The sequence below is a fragment of the Homo sapiens genome, chromosome 7 (assembly GCF_000001405.40).
Source record: "Homo sapiens chromosome 7, GRCh38.p14 Primary Assembly".
Lineage (NCBI taxonomy): Eukaryota > Metazoa > Chordata > Mammalia > Primates > Hominidae > Homo > Homo sapiens.
Window position 1 is genome coordinate 25665669 of NC_000007.14, and position 15667 is coordinate 25681335.

At 43.4% G+C, this 15667-nt stretch overlaps 1 long non-coding RNA gene across 9 annotated transcripts in view; it reads right to left on the reverse strand.

Annotated features, from left to right (window-relative positions):
• LINC03007 (long intergenic non-protein coding RNA 3007) overlaps window positions 1-15667 on the reverse strand; it is a 196819-nt gene that overhangs the window by 72368 nt on the left and 108784 nt on the right. The window contains exon 1 of one of the 9 annotated variants that reach the window (NR_157816.1): window positions 4982-5063. The exons of the other annotated variants lie outside the window; for them this stretch is intronic. This is a non-coding gene — a long non-coding RNA (long intergenic non-protein coding RNA 3007). Of the gene's footprint in view, window positions 1-4981; window positions 5064-15667 lie in introns of those variants that run through there. 9 annotated transcript variants of the gene reach the window in all.

Consider the following 15667-nt stretch of genomic DNA (forward strand, 5'->3'; position numbering starts at 1 on the left):
CAAGTCGAGATGTGGAATAGGCCATGGGATTTATGATTGGGAGCTCAGAGGAGAGCCTAAGCTGGAGATATAAATTTAAGAGTCACCAGCATATAGATAATAATTGAAACCATGAGTACGAACGAGGTCACGGAGGGAGGGTGTAGAATGTGAAGGAGAAGAGGGCAGTGTATCAAGCCTTGAAATTCTCCAATATTTAATGGTAAGCAAGAGGAGAATGAGCCAGGAAAGAGACTGGGGAGAGTCCCAAGAGGTGGGAGAAAATTAGAATGTCAGGTCATGGAATCCAAAGGAAGAGGATATTTTAAGAAGAAGGTGCTGCCAACAAGAGACACACAGAATGGCCAAGCAGGACCCATAGAATGTGACCTGTCAGGAAGTGAAATGTGGCATTTGTTTATCCTTAAGGATCTCATCTAGGTTACATTCCTGTGGGATTTTCAGGATTGTGTGTGCTCCTGGGTTTTGTTAACTCGGAATTTTTCCACCTTTCCTATGCACAGCTAAGGCTTACTGTTGCATGTTATGACTGAACTTTCTATCCAACGTGATCAGTTTAGCAACACCAGGGTTATATCTCATCTATCCAGATGCTTCTGCTGTTCAGACAGGAAAAAAGTCAAAAATCTCAATGATTCTTGCTAAAGTCCTGTCACTAATATTTGTGTGTTTACTAATAGAAGCCTTTATTTAGCTTTCACTGAGAGCTATTTAACCTTTACAGGTTTTACAAGGATCAATGTTCGGTTTCTTAATCCATAGTAAAATGGAAAAAAACCTGTGGGCAGGGGCCAAGGTGGAGGAGGAAGACCAAGAAGGAAGGTCACTGAGGCATGTGAAAATTGTTACAGTACAGTCAGTCCTCATTAGAAGTAGATTAAAATCTACAAAAACCAGGCAAAAGAACCACAAAATTACAGCAGTCTGAGTCCATTTAGTGAGGAGTAAATACACCTTAGTCCTCAGTAACCTTTGGAGAAAACATCACAATATACTGCCTGTTAATAACAGAGCAACCAAGGAAATTTTAAATAAATGCTTGCTACGTTAAAATAAGTGGGGGAAGCCTATCATGTGATTTTCTTTTCTGTCCCTTGTATTTTCTATAAAGTGGTTTTGAGAACTATAGGCTCAATCAGTTTCAAGTTAAATTTTTGGGTAAGAATTCACTCTAGGAGGTAATGTACACATCAGATTGTTCGGGGATGTTAGGATTGCCCAGAGGGCTCCAGGATCATCAGCCTTATCCAATAGAATGTTTCCTGTTGGCCTTTCACCTAATGGTTTCACAGCTATTAAATATGGTCCCCTAGATGTATCATTTTATTAGATATTAATACATTCAGAATGTGGCAAACTCTACAGTGCAAATAACTTAGTTTTTTAAACAAATAAATTGCAAGGAAAAAAGCCAGCGGGAAAGAGAAGCTACAGATTAAAATATATTTAAGAGCCACAACAACCAAATCCAGTGTATAGGTTTGTCCTGCTTATTAGTAAATGGACATTTGCTAATTAACTGCAGAAATTTTAAAACTGACTGGAAATCCAATCCTATTTTTTAGGTGTGATGACGCATGGTAATTACACATTTTTTAAAGTCCTTATCAAGATACATACTGAAGGATTTATAAATAAAATGACATGATGTCTGGTATTTGCTTCAAAACAATCCAGTGGATGGGGGTGGTGGGCCATGGAAGAACAGGGGAGAGGGCTTGGGGAGAGAGGAAATCAGATCAGCCTTGAGCTGCCGTGAAGGCTGGATGACGGGCACCTGTGGGTTCTCGGTGCCCTGCTCTCTACTGTGGATGACTTCTTGAAATTTCTCTAACAAAAAGCTTAAAAATAGAGAGAAGAGGCCAGGCATGGTGGCTAACGCCTATAATCCCAGCACTTCGGGAGGCCCAGGCGGGCAGATCACCTGAGGTCAGGAGTTTGAGACCAGCCTGGCCAACATGGTGAAACCCCGTCTCTACTAATAATACAAAAATTAGCTGGGCATGGTGGTGGGCACCTGTAGTCCCAGCTACTTGGGAGGCTGAGGCAGGAGAATTGCTTGAAGCCAGGAGGTGGAGATTGCAGAAAGCCGAGATCACGCCATTGCACTCCAGCATGGGGGACAAGAGTGAGACGCCGTCTCAAAAAATAAATAAATAAATAACGGGAAGAAGTCATTTCTTCTTCATCTTGTTATTTTGGAAGAAAACATTTCTAAACATCTTCTTCAGCAGGGTAGACTGAACAACACTAAAAACAGATTATTTAGAAAGTCCAATGGTGAATACAAAGATAAATTAAGAAGAAGCATACCTTGGAGTAATGGAGGTGTGACTATATTATTACCTCAGTAATTGAAACAACCAAATTGAAGCCAGGCGAGAAATCACTCCACACTATGATGGGTTAGAGAGCTCCAATGCCTCAATTAGAACTGATTTCTAATTGAAACACTGCTGAACTTCAGGCAGCAAAACCCGCTTCTGTCGCACCTCTGTGACTCTGTTCCGAAAGATAGGGTTCTGTGCTTCAGTGAGCTCCTGTATGAAGCCCAATCCCCCTACGCTTCTCCTTCCTTTGCTCTATGTTCCTCTGCTCCAGAGAAGTCACCCATTCATTTGCTAACTTAGGAGTGGCAATGCCAGTAAATATTTTGAGAAGTTTTAGGGAAAAAAAATATTTAAAATGAAATTCAAACTACTATGGAATGGACTCTTCACTTTCAAGCCATCAACTCTCTTTCCTTCTTACCTGGTCATGTGGTTCCCATCCAGATCCATCGTTGCCCCCTTGGGCTCCCTGGGCTACCTGCTTCGACAAGGGGAAGGCCACCATGCTGCCCTCTGCAGCTCCCTGGGTGAAGGGAGGACAGGTTGGCCAGGCAGGGAACCGCAGGCAAGGGCCTGTGACTGACTGACTTTTTGGTTCATAGTCATCTGGGTTGCATATGCCTGAAAACTTCTGGGGTTTCAGGGTACATCAGGGTCACTGGAGATGGCCAGTTCAGAGAATACCCAGCATCTGAGGTTTTTGCCCCCTCTCTGCTTGTGTTTTTACCTACACCATTTCCTGAGCTCAATAAGCCAATCACCCACTGAATTCCTATTCATCTTTTAAGAGCTCACTTCACCATCACCAAATCCGCAGATCTTTTCCCAACCTGCTCATCAGAGCTAAGGGGCCCTTCCTCTCCTTCCAATAGTTCTCTGCTTGTAAAGTTCTTATAAGATTTAAGTATCTAGGGAACCAACTATTTGGTGAGCTCCTCGAGGGCTGGACTGTGTCTCATTCACCTGTGTATCCATGCCCGGAGTAATGCCCATCCCTAGACAGTGCCTCATGTTCACCCCTGTGCATGTGAACAGGACACATGAGCTCTGTCCATAGCTCTCCAACCCCCTTCCACCGCTTGTCTCTAACCAACCCCCTTTGCCTCCTTCCTGCTACCCCTCCTTTTCCATACCACCACTTTCCCACACCATCTCCTTCTTCCCCTGAATCAAGAAGTGAGAACATCAGGAAAGAGAGGGATCAATTTCATGCCAGAGTCTCAGGCTGTCTCCACGGATTTTCCCATGCCAGACCATTTGGCTAGTGATTGCTGAACTAGATGAGAATTCTCAGCCCTACCCAGGAGTCCTCCAGCTCCCACTGCCTCATGGGCCCATCACAGCTTTCTGGATCAATAAACCTCTCCTTCAGTCAATAGGAGCTTTGTGAACTAAACAACAGATGCCACAGGGCCTAGAAGGCAAATAAATATGGTTATTCAACATTTTATCGCACTGTGTGTAATTCAGGAAATTTAATTATGGTCTCCCTAGCAACAGTAATGCAACTTCAAGCCTGGTACACAGGCCTTGTTTTCTGGTGCACAAGGGAGTGACCTTCACGCCTTCACCTGGATGGAGACCATGCAATCTGGCTGACTTACAGTTGCCATGGGAAACCTCAGTGAGTCTTCCTCCCAAATCCTCTGCTTCCAAATTCAAAGCTGATTTTCAGCATTTGGTATGGAGACTCGGGTGGGGGAAGGCACTAACATAACTCCAGACAAGTATAGGTAGTTAAGCATCAAAGGCACAGATCCAGACGCTGGATACACTTGAGACACAGAATGTCTGAGCAGGACTCTCAGAAAACGAAGTGTCAGGATCAGACCTGCCTACTGTTCTATTGCCTAGAGCAGGGGTTATTAACTTGGGGTCTGTGATGTCCCCAAAGAGAGACTGATGGCATGGTGATTGGGAGCATGGATTCCGGTGCCAGACTTCACAGGTTCAAATCCTATTTACCTCTTCCATTTATGGAGCTATATGACCTTAGGCAAAGGACTCACCTTCCCTGTGCCTCAGTCTCCTCATCCATAAACTAGGGGTAACATTATTGGGAGAATTCCGGGTGATTTGATTAGTTTTGCTTTGGAGCACAGAGTAATACTGGACCTCTAGGCAGGATTTACTAATGACAGCACTTAGCTATTTTGCATGGCCCCACTTGTAATCCTGTGCCTGAGCCAAGTCAGAATGGGGACGTGTCACATATGGGCTCCCTTGAGTTTGTTCTTTTTTATTTTCTGAGAAAACTATATTTCTTTTTCCACTCCTCACTCCTCTGCGAACTTTAATTAAGCCCTCTCCCATCTAGAGAGCCAGGCGAGGGTTAAGTTTTGTTTTTGAAAAGCCTCACAAGCTTGCACAGCAGCAGGTTTTGCCACAGTTTGACAGTTCCAGTTCAGCTCGGTGCGGCTGATTTATAAGACACTGAGCTCATTGGCTTTATCCTCTGTTCTCTCCCAGTCATTTCTCAATCGAGTCGCCCTGGCTGGAAACATCTGAGAAAGAAATTTACTGAGAGATGCACAGACAGCCTATTCACATTTCATAACTTTTCAGGAGCCTTCCCCCAGAGGAGCCAGCGGTAGCCAGTTAACTCATGCACAATCCCTAGCTAGTGTCCCTGCCCCCATCACTCCACTCACCTGTACAGACAAACCCAGGTCCCCTCCAAACTCGGCTTCTTTGACTCTAATGCTAAGTGATGTAGCCATCACAGCACATACTGTTCTTAGACCTCGCCCAGCCTCGCCTGTGACAGCAGGATTAGACAGGGAAATATGAATGGAAGGCACCCGATGGATTTAGTGATTTAATTGTCTGAGCACTTAAAAATTCAGGATTAATTCCACTTAAGTGCAGTTGTTTCTTTCTCATTAACAGGGATCTGTTTAGAATAATTTATAGAAATAGGAACCTAATGGAGGCTCAAAAGAAGCCTTTGCGTGACTTATCAACCTTGCTTTCCCCTTCTCTAGCCAGCCCCTCTCCCTGCACCAATCTGGTCTCAACATATAGAAGCCTCTAATCTGAAACTGGTGTTTCCCACTAAATCCTCCATTTGTGCTTGAAGTAATTTGCAATGGCCACTTTCTGTGTCTTGTTCTCAGATGTGTCTTCGTCAATTAGTGCAATGTCACAGCCGTGTGTAGTTATTGTAACTCCAGCTGTGAGCTGTTAATAATAAACTTGCCCACAGGACAACCCTGTCATATGGTTGATGGTCAATCAAGACTAAAATATGCATTAGAAGGAAAAAAAATGCTCCTGTCAACAGTGAGTGGGTGGAGGTCATTGGTTAGGATGCCGGCATGTAGCTGCCCAGTTCGGGTTAATGTCGTGTCGTCGGCATCCTTGACTCGCTCCCACTCTACGATGTTTGTCCTGAGACACAAAGGCGTGATAACTAAAATGACACAGCTGGAATCAGAAGACAAGTAGACAAAACATGGTGAAATGTAGAATATGGGTCAGGGAATAGGGATTTGTTGAAAAGAAACATAGCTCAGATTCTTTAGTAGGAAAAGAAGACAGATCTGCGTTTTGGTCATGGGAAATGATCTGTGGGCTACAAGACAAATTTTATTTAATGGGAGTTCTGAGGCAAATAAAAACAAGCTGATTTGTGGCAAATGAGTGAAGAAGGAACAGTCACCCACTTGGGTGATTCCTATTAATTTTCTTCACAGGATCACGAGGTGTTTTGATTATTTTAGTTCAGTTTTAAATTTTGGTTTTCCAAGGGGTGGCTATGAGTGGGGAGACTCTTGGCAAATAGATGAACCTTGACTTAGAAATCTGCCCCAGTATGAAAATCTAATGGCATTTACTTGTCTCGATGGCTAAACTGCTACTTACTCATCTCTATGTCAGTTTCATCTGCAATTACTAAGAACGAGTACAGAATGGTAAAAAGCCATGCCAACTGTCTCAGTCAGTCCATGCTTTTTTGTGTGTTTAAATAAGTTCTCAATACAATATCTATCATAGATAGCATTTCATAATACCCTGAAGGCCACACTCTAAACAATCTCCAGTCTCTTCACTACCACAGGTCTCGGTTCAACATTTTCTGTTAATAACTGAAAACCCAGGGAGGCCAAGGCGGGTGGATCACCTGAGGTCAGGAGTTCAAGACCAGCCTAGGTGACATGGTGAAACTCCATCTCTACTAAAAATACAAAAATTAGCTGGGCACGGTGGTGCGTGCCTGTAATCCCAGCTACTCAGGAGGCTGAGGCAGGAGAATCACTTGAGCCCAGGAGGCAGAGGTTGCAGTGAGCCGAGATTGTGCGTGCACTCCAGTCTGGGCGACAGAGCAAGACTCCATTTCAAAAAAAAAAAAAACCTGAAAACCCAGGTTAAAGCAGTACATGCAACTTTTTCTTTGAATTCAAGCATTCCATTGCCTCCTTTTAAAAAAGACATGTTTTTTTTCTCCTTTCTTTATCTTTTTTTTCTGTGCTGGTCAGGAAGTGAAATGATTCAATTCCTACCGAGGTTTCTTTTTCACAGAAAGAATGAAATATTTGTCCTCTACTAAAAACAGAAAAACTTTCAATTGGCATTCAAAGGGTAATCACACAATAAGGGCCTTATTAAAAGCCTGGAGCCCCGTTTACTCACTGTGGAGCCTGACTTGATTATTCGATAATTAGAAACACCCTGCTAATGACTGGACTGGAGTCTTCCCTGAGGGAGTGCCCCCTTCAGGCAACGCATTATTTGTGATTACACTTTTGTCATTAAGAAGGTAAATTACTCACTTCTCTTTCCTCCCATATTCTTTCCAGATTTGCCTGAAATTTGTGGGAATCCAGAGAAGGCTGCCCTGTCTGGAGATACCCACACACAGGCACATGTGCATACACATACATGCGTGCTTCTCCTCCATCCCAGTTAGTTGGTTGCTAAGGGTTTGCTGAATTTCCTGTCATTCTGAGGCTGTTTCACTTGCTCAGTGGTTCTCAGCTGGGTGCGTGGCAATGTCTGGAGTTGTGTTTGGTTATCAAACTGCAAAGAGGAGAGGAGCTACTGGCATCTAACTAGTGGAGGTCAGGGATGCTACTAAATCTATAATGCATAGAACCCCACCCCCGCACCCCCCACCTCGGCAAAGAATTATCTGGCTCAAAATGTCAACAACGCCAATGCTGAGAAATACTGCACTAATGATCAATTTAGTTTGAGATGACATGATCGATCTACGGGTTAATGTTCAGAATGAAAGCAGTAAGACAAAGGGGTATCAAATTCCTCTTACATCATTTTCCCTTCACCCCACCAAAAAATTATACCTGATTCACCCCAACTCTGCCTAAGCCAGTTTTCCACATGATATTGTAAGGTGGGGATCAGCAACCTACAGCTTAATGCATCTGCCACCTACTTTTGTACAGCCAACAAGCTATGACTGCTTGTTACGTGTTTAAATGGTTGAGAGGAAACAAAATGAATATTATCTGTGACCCATGAAAATTATGTGACATTTAAATTTAATATCCATAAATAAAATTTTACTGGGATCCAGCCACACCCACTTGTTTACATATTGGCCATTGTTACTTTTGCAATATAGCAGCAGATTAATTTTGACAGAGACTATATGGCCCCCAAAGCCTAAATATTTACTATCTGGCCTATGACAGAAAAGGTTTGCTGGCCTGTACTATAAAACCCAAAACCAATTATGTGCCCTGCACAAAAGACAGACTCAATGATTCCTGGAGGTCCCAGGTCCCACTTTGATTAGGAAAGGTGCATAAATAATGCTGCACTGTTTCTACATTTGCTACCCTCAGATATCACCAGATTGGTGGGAGGTCACTTACACACAAGTTATTTGTTTTTCTAATCTTACCACAGTTATAACTTTCTTGCCCCAATAAAACTCATCATGTGGTTTCAAAGCTGGGCTTTCCTCTCAATTTCCTTCCCCAGCATTAGCCTGAATCGATGATACAAAACCAGAGAGAGAAGACAGAAGGGTCTGATTTATCCTCCAACTGGATCCTCAGCCATGAGTAATTGAAAGAAAAACATAGGTGCACCCTAGCCGCAAATTCTCAGACATCCCCTGACTCCCCGCCGAGATTGACAGTCCTCTCCCTATTTCAGAAATAGTTTGAACTATTCTCCTTCCCCAGAAAAAAAGGGTATTTAGGGATGTTACCCACACAGACAGAAAGAGGTTAGCTGGAACAGGGTTCTACAAACACAGGGATTAATGCTGTTTAACCTCACCAATTTAAAATGTAAAGGAATACACGCAAAAAGCCTGCCCCTGGCACTGTGCATGCCAAAGGAGTTAAGCAGCCCCACATGCATGTATTCTAGTTTGGAGACATGACAAGGACACACATAGAAGGCTGTGAGGATGCAGAAGAGGGAGAGATCATTTCTGGATTTGGAGATGATAGTGATAAGGAGGAAGTGGGGCAAGAGGAGAGCATCATCATTTATTGGTGTCAGAAGTACTCTGAGCACTTTACATAGATCTTCACAGTAACTCAAAATGTTGATAGTGTTCAACCCGTTTTATAGATGGAAAAACTGAACTTCAAGACGTTAAGTAACTTGCCTAAGGGCACAGAGCCAGTAAGGTAGTGGAGCAAGGATTCGAAGCACATCTGTCTGACTGCTCTTCTCCATGTTGAGGGGATTTTGTCATTGAGAAAGTAAATTACTCACTTCTCTTTCCTCCCATTTTCTTTCTAGAGTTTTTGCCTTAAAATTGTGGGAATCCAGGGAAGACTGCCACAGCAGAGGCAGGATGTGAACAGGCCTGGATGAGTAGGATACAGATTGGAAAACTAAAGGGGAAAAAAACATTCTAAATAGGATAAAGGGATACGAATAAAAGAACAACTCTGGAATGGGTGTGTTACATTAGGGATGGTTCAGAGACAGAATAGAGGAGTCTCTTGGAAGCAGAGTTTACACAGGGCAGATAATACTCAAAGGTTTGATGAGGCCCAAACATTGCCAAATGCAACCATTGTTAGGAATCGATTTTGCAAAGTCTTGACATTTGACATTGAGTCCATGTGGAAGGAATGTGCTACAGTAATAGCAGCTTTATTCATGACTGCCAACACTTGCAAGCAACCAAGATGTCCTTCAATATGTAAATAGATCAAACCAATACAACCATGTGATGGCTGTACTTATTCAGTGATGAAAAGAGCTATCAAGCCACCAAGATACCTGGAGGAAACAAATGCATACTGCTAAGTGAAAGAAGTTCATCTTAGAAGAACTAAGAAAGAAGCTACATACTGTGTGACTTCAACTATATGACATTTGGGAAAAAGCAAAACTATGGAGACTGTAAAAAGACCAGTGGTTGTCAGCAATTACAGGAAGAGTAGGATGAAGAGGCAGAGGGTTTTTAGGGCAGTGGAACTATTCTGTACAATACTATAATGGCAGATACGTGGCATTATACATTTGTCAAACCCATAGGATGCACAACACAGAGAATGAACCCTAATGTAAACTATGAACTTTAGTTAATAATATGTCAATATTGGCTCATCAATTGTAACAAATGTGCCACACTAATGCCAGATAGTAAAAACAGGGGAATTTGGGGTGGGTGGAAGAGGGGACCTATGAGAACTCTATGTACTTTTGGTTCAATTTTTTCTGTAAACTGAAAACTGCTCCAAACAAATATTAATTAAAATTTTAAAAGGTTACTGGACCCAGATTCTAGACATGTCTCTGACTTTGAGCAAATCACAGCCTCTCTGGGTCTTATGGACCAAGAGATTAGTGCGTGACCCGCTACCATAGGACATCCTATGACTGGAATAATGTATATTTGTCCAACTTACTCTTTTCATTGAAGAGTGAAAGAGAGATGGAGGGTGCTTGGGCCTCAGGCTCATGAATGTAAGCCCTGAGGGTTTCTGGGTATTTGCAGCAGTGGATCAGGATCCATGAGATCACTTCCCTCTAGCACATGAGGTCACTTTGCATTTAGGGGCCCCAATACCAATGTGTTTGTGGTGTGGTCCTGGTTTGTTTAGAATGGTTACCAAATCCCAACTTCTTCAAACATTTTTTAAAGTGATGATTATTTTGCGGCATGATAGAAACTGACACCCACAAAATGTGTTGACTTTAATGAAGTAGATGTGAGAATTAAAACATCTTCCTTTCCACACCCAGCTTCTGAGCTTGTGTGCTGAGCTGCCTGACAGAAAGTTGGCCTCTGCAGGCCCCGCAGCTGCCATAGAAATGGCAGTGTGACTGGCAGCTCTCAGCAGTGTGTCCAGGATGTACTAATATTTACCAGAAGAGGCGGCCTCTGGTGTCACTGAGTCCCCACTCACCTCATGTGACTGCTGCTTCCAAGCCTGCTTCACAGAGTTGGCCCAGAGGAGGGTGTGGTCTGAGTTTGCATCAGAGATCTGGTTTTACCTTAACCCCTCAAAAATCACAATTATATTTAGCAGATCTCAGCAGGCATAGTATAAACAATAAAAACCAACCTTTAAGGATATTGTTCACAAAGGATGTAAATGCCAAGTAAGATGGGTAATTTAACTTTACATATATATGGATGGAAACATATATGGCTTTTAGATTGTGCCTGAATTTTCTACATATACAAACACACATACTTTTTAAACAGTTTGGGTACAGAAAATAATATCACCAACTTTTACTTGTGTGTGAACTTTGTAGACACAAAACTTAAACAGATGTGCATGTTTATGATTTTTAAAGATGCACATATGTAAAACATTCAATAGTATATTTGTTCACACAGTTGATTTAACTGAAAGACCCTGTATTTACATGTTTTAATTGTGTTATGTGAGACAGTGATACGTATATTATGTATGTTGACATTTATGATTGAAAACCAAGTGGCTCGGTAAAAGTGAGTTCTTCATGTGTTTTGAAACTGTTCCAGACCTAAAAGTTATGCACCACTTAGGAAGGGCTAAGGAATAGGAGGGGAGCTGAATGTGGATTGATTCCAAAATACTTCATGAAGGTAAATCATAAGAAATTAAACTTAAAATGTTTAAATTCCCTGCTCCACACAAATCGCAAACTCTGAGGCTATTTTTCTCATTCAGAGAAAGCAAGCAGCCTTCTGCTTCTGTTGATGTGTGACATTTGAAAGAAGAGTGGAGTCTGGGACTGGGGACGGGAGGTGGGCAGGCGTCTATGGAGGCTCCTCCATCCAACACTTCTCAATGAGGATTCCAGGAGGCCCAGCCTGTAAATGCTTGTATTGTCTTCCCGCTCTGCAGTCACGGGCAGCTGAACATTTTGCTTGGTACGTCCACAGAAGTTTTCTTCTTGCATGCAAGATTTGGGGTTTTAATACCTGCTGCGTTTGGAAAAATTCTAAAATCAGAAATGATGTGGTCTGAAGTGTTGACATGTTTGGCCCCATATGGACTACACAGCTCAGAGAAATGAAGTGGCACATTTATCAAGTCTCAAGTTTGGGGTCCCATATAGATTTATTTGAGCCACACCGGCCAGAGGTGACTGAGCCTCCACAGTCCTTAACGTGCTTATGTTTTTTATTGTCCTCTCCAGCTGTATAAGTGCCTCTGCCCTTTGGAACACAGTATTAACGGCACTGACAATTCTGCTCATTTCCCCTCTTTTTATCAGTAATTCAGCCTTATGAATCCAATAAATATCAGACTAGGCTTGAATTATACATTGGTGAATTCTTTATCTGTCCTTTTGCTAGTTTTCCACAGCTTTGGAGCAAATTATCATACCTAGTGCGACATACTTGGCATGGAACAGTGTCCCTAGGGAAACTCTGGTAAAGTTATGAGGTCATATCAAGTCAATCTAGAAATACAAGCAGTAGTACCAATCTTCAAATGCAGAAACTAGAGGCTCTCTCAGAACTTACAATTGCTCTCCATTTTATAATTCCAATGAACATAGAAACAATCAAGGCTAAGGAATTTTCTGCTCCACTCTGCAGAGCTGCGTAGTGCCCGGGTCGGTGTGAGGGGCACCAGGAAAGGGGATTTATGTCTCTTTGCCTTTACCCCTAATTCTCGCCTTGACCATATCCAGTAAAATCAGCAAGTAAAATCTAGCAAGCTCCAGTGAAATCAGGTTAAAATAATCACATGGGTAGCTTTCAGGAGGCTTAAGGTAACTGGGGCAAGTTTGTACGCATAGGAACTTCAGGCCGCTTCTAGTACCAGTTCCTCAGTCACAGCCCAGAACCAGCCCCACCTCCAGCCTGGGCCACCACTGTGGCTCCACTGGGGGGCCCAGTTTCACAAAGCCATAACTGTGTCCTCTCAACATTTAGAGAAAACAAGAGGCAAGCTCTAAACAACCTGTAAGGACAAAGTACACAATAGGAACGCAAAAAATTGGGAGGGAAAGCAGGCATTCAGAAGATTGTGTCAAATAAGCAGATTTCTGTAATAGTGGAAAGATAGAGTCAGAAGTAGGAGAATGTATGATGAAGGGGTAGGGGTGTGTGTTGCAAGAGAAAAATGATATTCTCTCTTAACCTTTTCTTTTGTCCCTCCCCCAACTGTTCTGCAACCTGCCAAAGGGGAATTAGCAAAGAAATAGACCTGCTCCTATCACACAGGTAATGCCAAGAAGCCCATGGAGAGAAAAGGGGAAGACCAGGAGGCCAGGCCCACCTTTCCACCATATTTGAGCATCACCACCACCACTGTCAATCACTACTACCAAAGTTTCTTTCTCTACACCTTTTAGGGGATAGGACAAGTTTTGTCTGAGAGCAAAGTTTTAAATCTGAGGGAAAGACAATCACTATGGATTTCAAGAGGACTAAATGTCTTAGCAGCTTGCAGTTAAATGTCTTAGCTTGCAGTTTCCCCTGAGCAGCTGCAGCTCTTGTGGTTGCCCCAGAGGTTGCAGATGGAAGGAGCCCACCGCTCCTGCAGGGCTTAGCACGTGGCTGGTCACTGCCTCGGTGGGGTCGATCAGGCCCCCTCTCTCTGCCATTCTGGGAGAAGTATCTATCATGGTTCTTTCCACACTGATTTTATTCAGGAGTTTCTACTTTAATCCTCACGTCTTTGCCCTCTTGTTTTGCCTGTAAAGAACTTCTCCGTAAGGCCTGGTTTTCCCTCCTTTTTCAACGTGAGCCTCAGCATCTTCTGCTCTTTGCTGCCCCACCAAATCTCCCTCTGTGGCATCAACCTGCCACCACACACATTGTCAGAGGTGGCATTGGGCAACGCAACTTCAGAGTTCCTTGTCCTGCCGATCTCTGAGAATCCATGGGGCACATTCCACAGGACACTGGAGATGTGTCTTGAGGAGGGGGAGATGCTGTGTGCCACATTCCACTCTTGGGTGGAATTCTGTAGTGCTCATTAGTCCACATTGAAGGTCCTAAGGCTTCTCACTGTTAAGTGGCCTGCTTAACTGCCCATAAATTGGTGTTGCACCAACTTGTTTTACCATGGCCCTTGCCTTTTGAGTCATACCTTCTACCATTTTGCAGAACTGCTGCTCTGAGGATCATGTCTCAGGAAATGTTGCTGATCCACATGGAGGGTCTACCCAGGAGCCAAGTGCTTGTTATGTGCCATGCTTCAGGAAACAAACTCCCTTTCTGTCCTCCTTGCCTTCTCTTTGACTCAAGCACACAGCAATTCCTGTTCAGGCCCAAGATGCAGATATAGAATTACCAGCCCTGGGATCCCAGCCCCAACTCAATGTACTACTGCTACTACCCAAAGAACTCCAGGAGGTTCCTCCTGTCTGCTTTAATGTAGCAAAGACTGATGGTTGTCCTACAAAATCTTTTCTTTCTTTCTTCTTTAATAAAAGAACCTCTGATTTCTGGCTGGACATGTGGTCACTGAGTAAAACTATAGTTCTCTGTCTCCCTTGCACCTAGGTGTGCAACTATAGGGGGTGCTGGGTACAACATCTAGGCACTATGTTTAAAGGGAGGGAGCATGTGCTTCTTTGTCTTCTTCTCCTTTTTACTGCTGGAATAAGGATGTGATTACAAGAACTTCTGCAGCCATTTTGGGTCATGAAGTGGAAGCCACATGCTGAGCAGGATAGAAGGGAACTGGGTCCCTGACATTATAGAGTAAAATCGTGTTCTAAGCTGACACACCTGGGCTTCTTTTTTTTTTTTTTTTTTTTTTTTGAGATGGAGTCTTGCTCAGTCGCCCAGTCTGGAGTGCAGTGGTGCAATCTCAGCTCACTGCAAGTTCTGCCTCCCAGGTTCACGCCATTCTCCTGCCTCAGCCTCCCGAGTGGCTGGGACTACAGGTGCCCACTACCATGCCTGGCTAATTTTTTTTGTATTTTTAGTAGAGATGGGGTTTCACCATGTTAGCCAGGATGGTCACGATCTCCTGACCTCATGATCCACCCGCCTCAGCCTCCCAAAGTGCTGGGATTACAGGCGTGAGCCACCACGCCTGGCCACACCTGGGCTTCTCTTATGAGAAAGAGAAATAGACTTTTTTTTATAATTTAAGCTACTAGTTTTTTATGGTTTTTTTTTTTAATTTTTATTTTTTATCCTTAGCAAACTAACACAGGATTAAGCCACTATTATGATGGGGTTTCTGCTACCTCAACAGAGTCTAATCCTAACTGCTTTGGTTCCTCTCTTCAGCTAACCCCTCAGACCTCTCAAGAACAAACTGAAAGCACAGATCATTTCCTAGAACAACCTCTCAGAAAGTCATCTTGACTGGGAACAAGTTAGCCTCAGGATGACCCCACTGGAATTCCTCTCCTGATGACCATCAGCCCCCTGTATCCAGACCCTCTGTCACTCAAGACCTTTTTTGAGGAGATGGGGAGATGGGGCTGGCTGGGGAAGTCTCCACACCACAGTGATTTGCACATCAGCAGATCCAACTGGGTGGTCTAGTCTAAGTGGCCATATGTTTTCCCACTGTTTGCCCCAAATAGCCATTCCCTGAGTTTTCCAAATTTTTAGTCTTCATGTGTTCACTTGGCTGTGTTCCCATTCACTGTTGGTGCCTTTCCCACAAGAACCATCCAATTTGTTCATTATCATATACACACCATCTATTCTGAAGGACCTCAGCGTGATTTGGTTCCAATTCAACCTCACACAACTTCTAAGTTAACAAAGATATTCTAATCTACTACCACGGTCCTGCCAGTCTATTCCATGTTTAAATCCTTGGTGCCAAGGCTAGTAATTCAAACAAAGGCACAACTCAGGCTATGTCACCCACAGATACCGCCTGAGCTGGGCAAGCCCTGGACCAGCGATCGTTGGCTGGAATTTGGTTCTCTGCACAAAACCAAAGCATGCTAATGTAGCAACCCGATGTGTGTGCTTC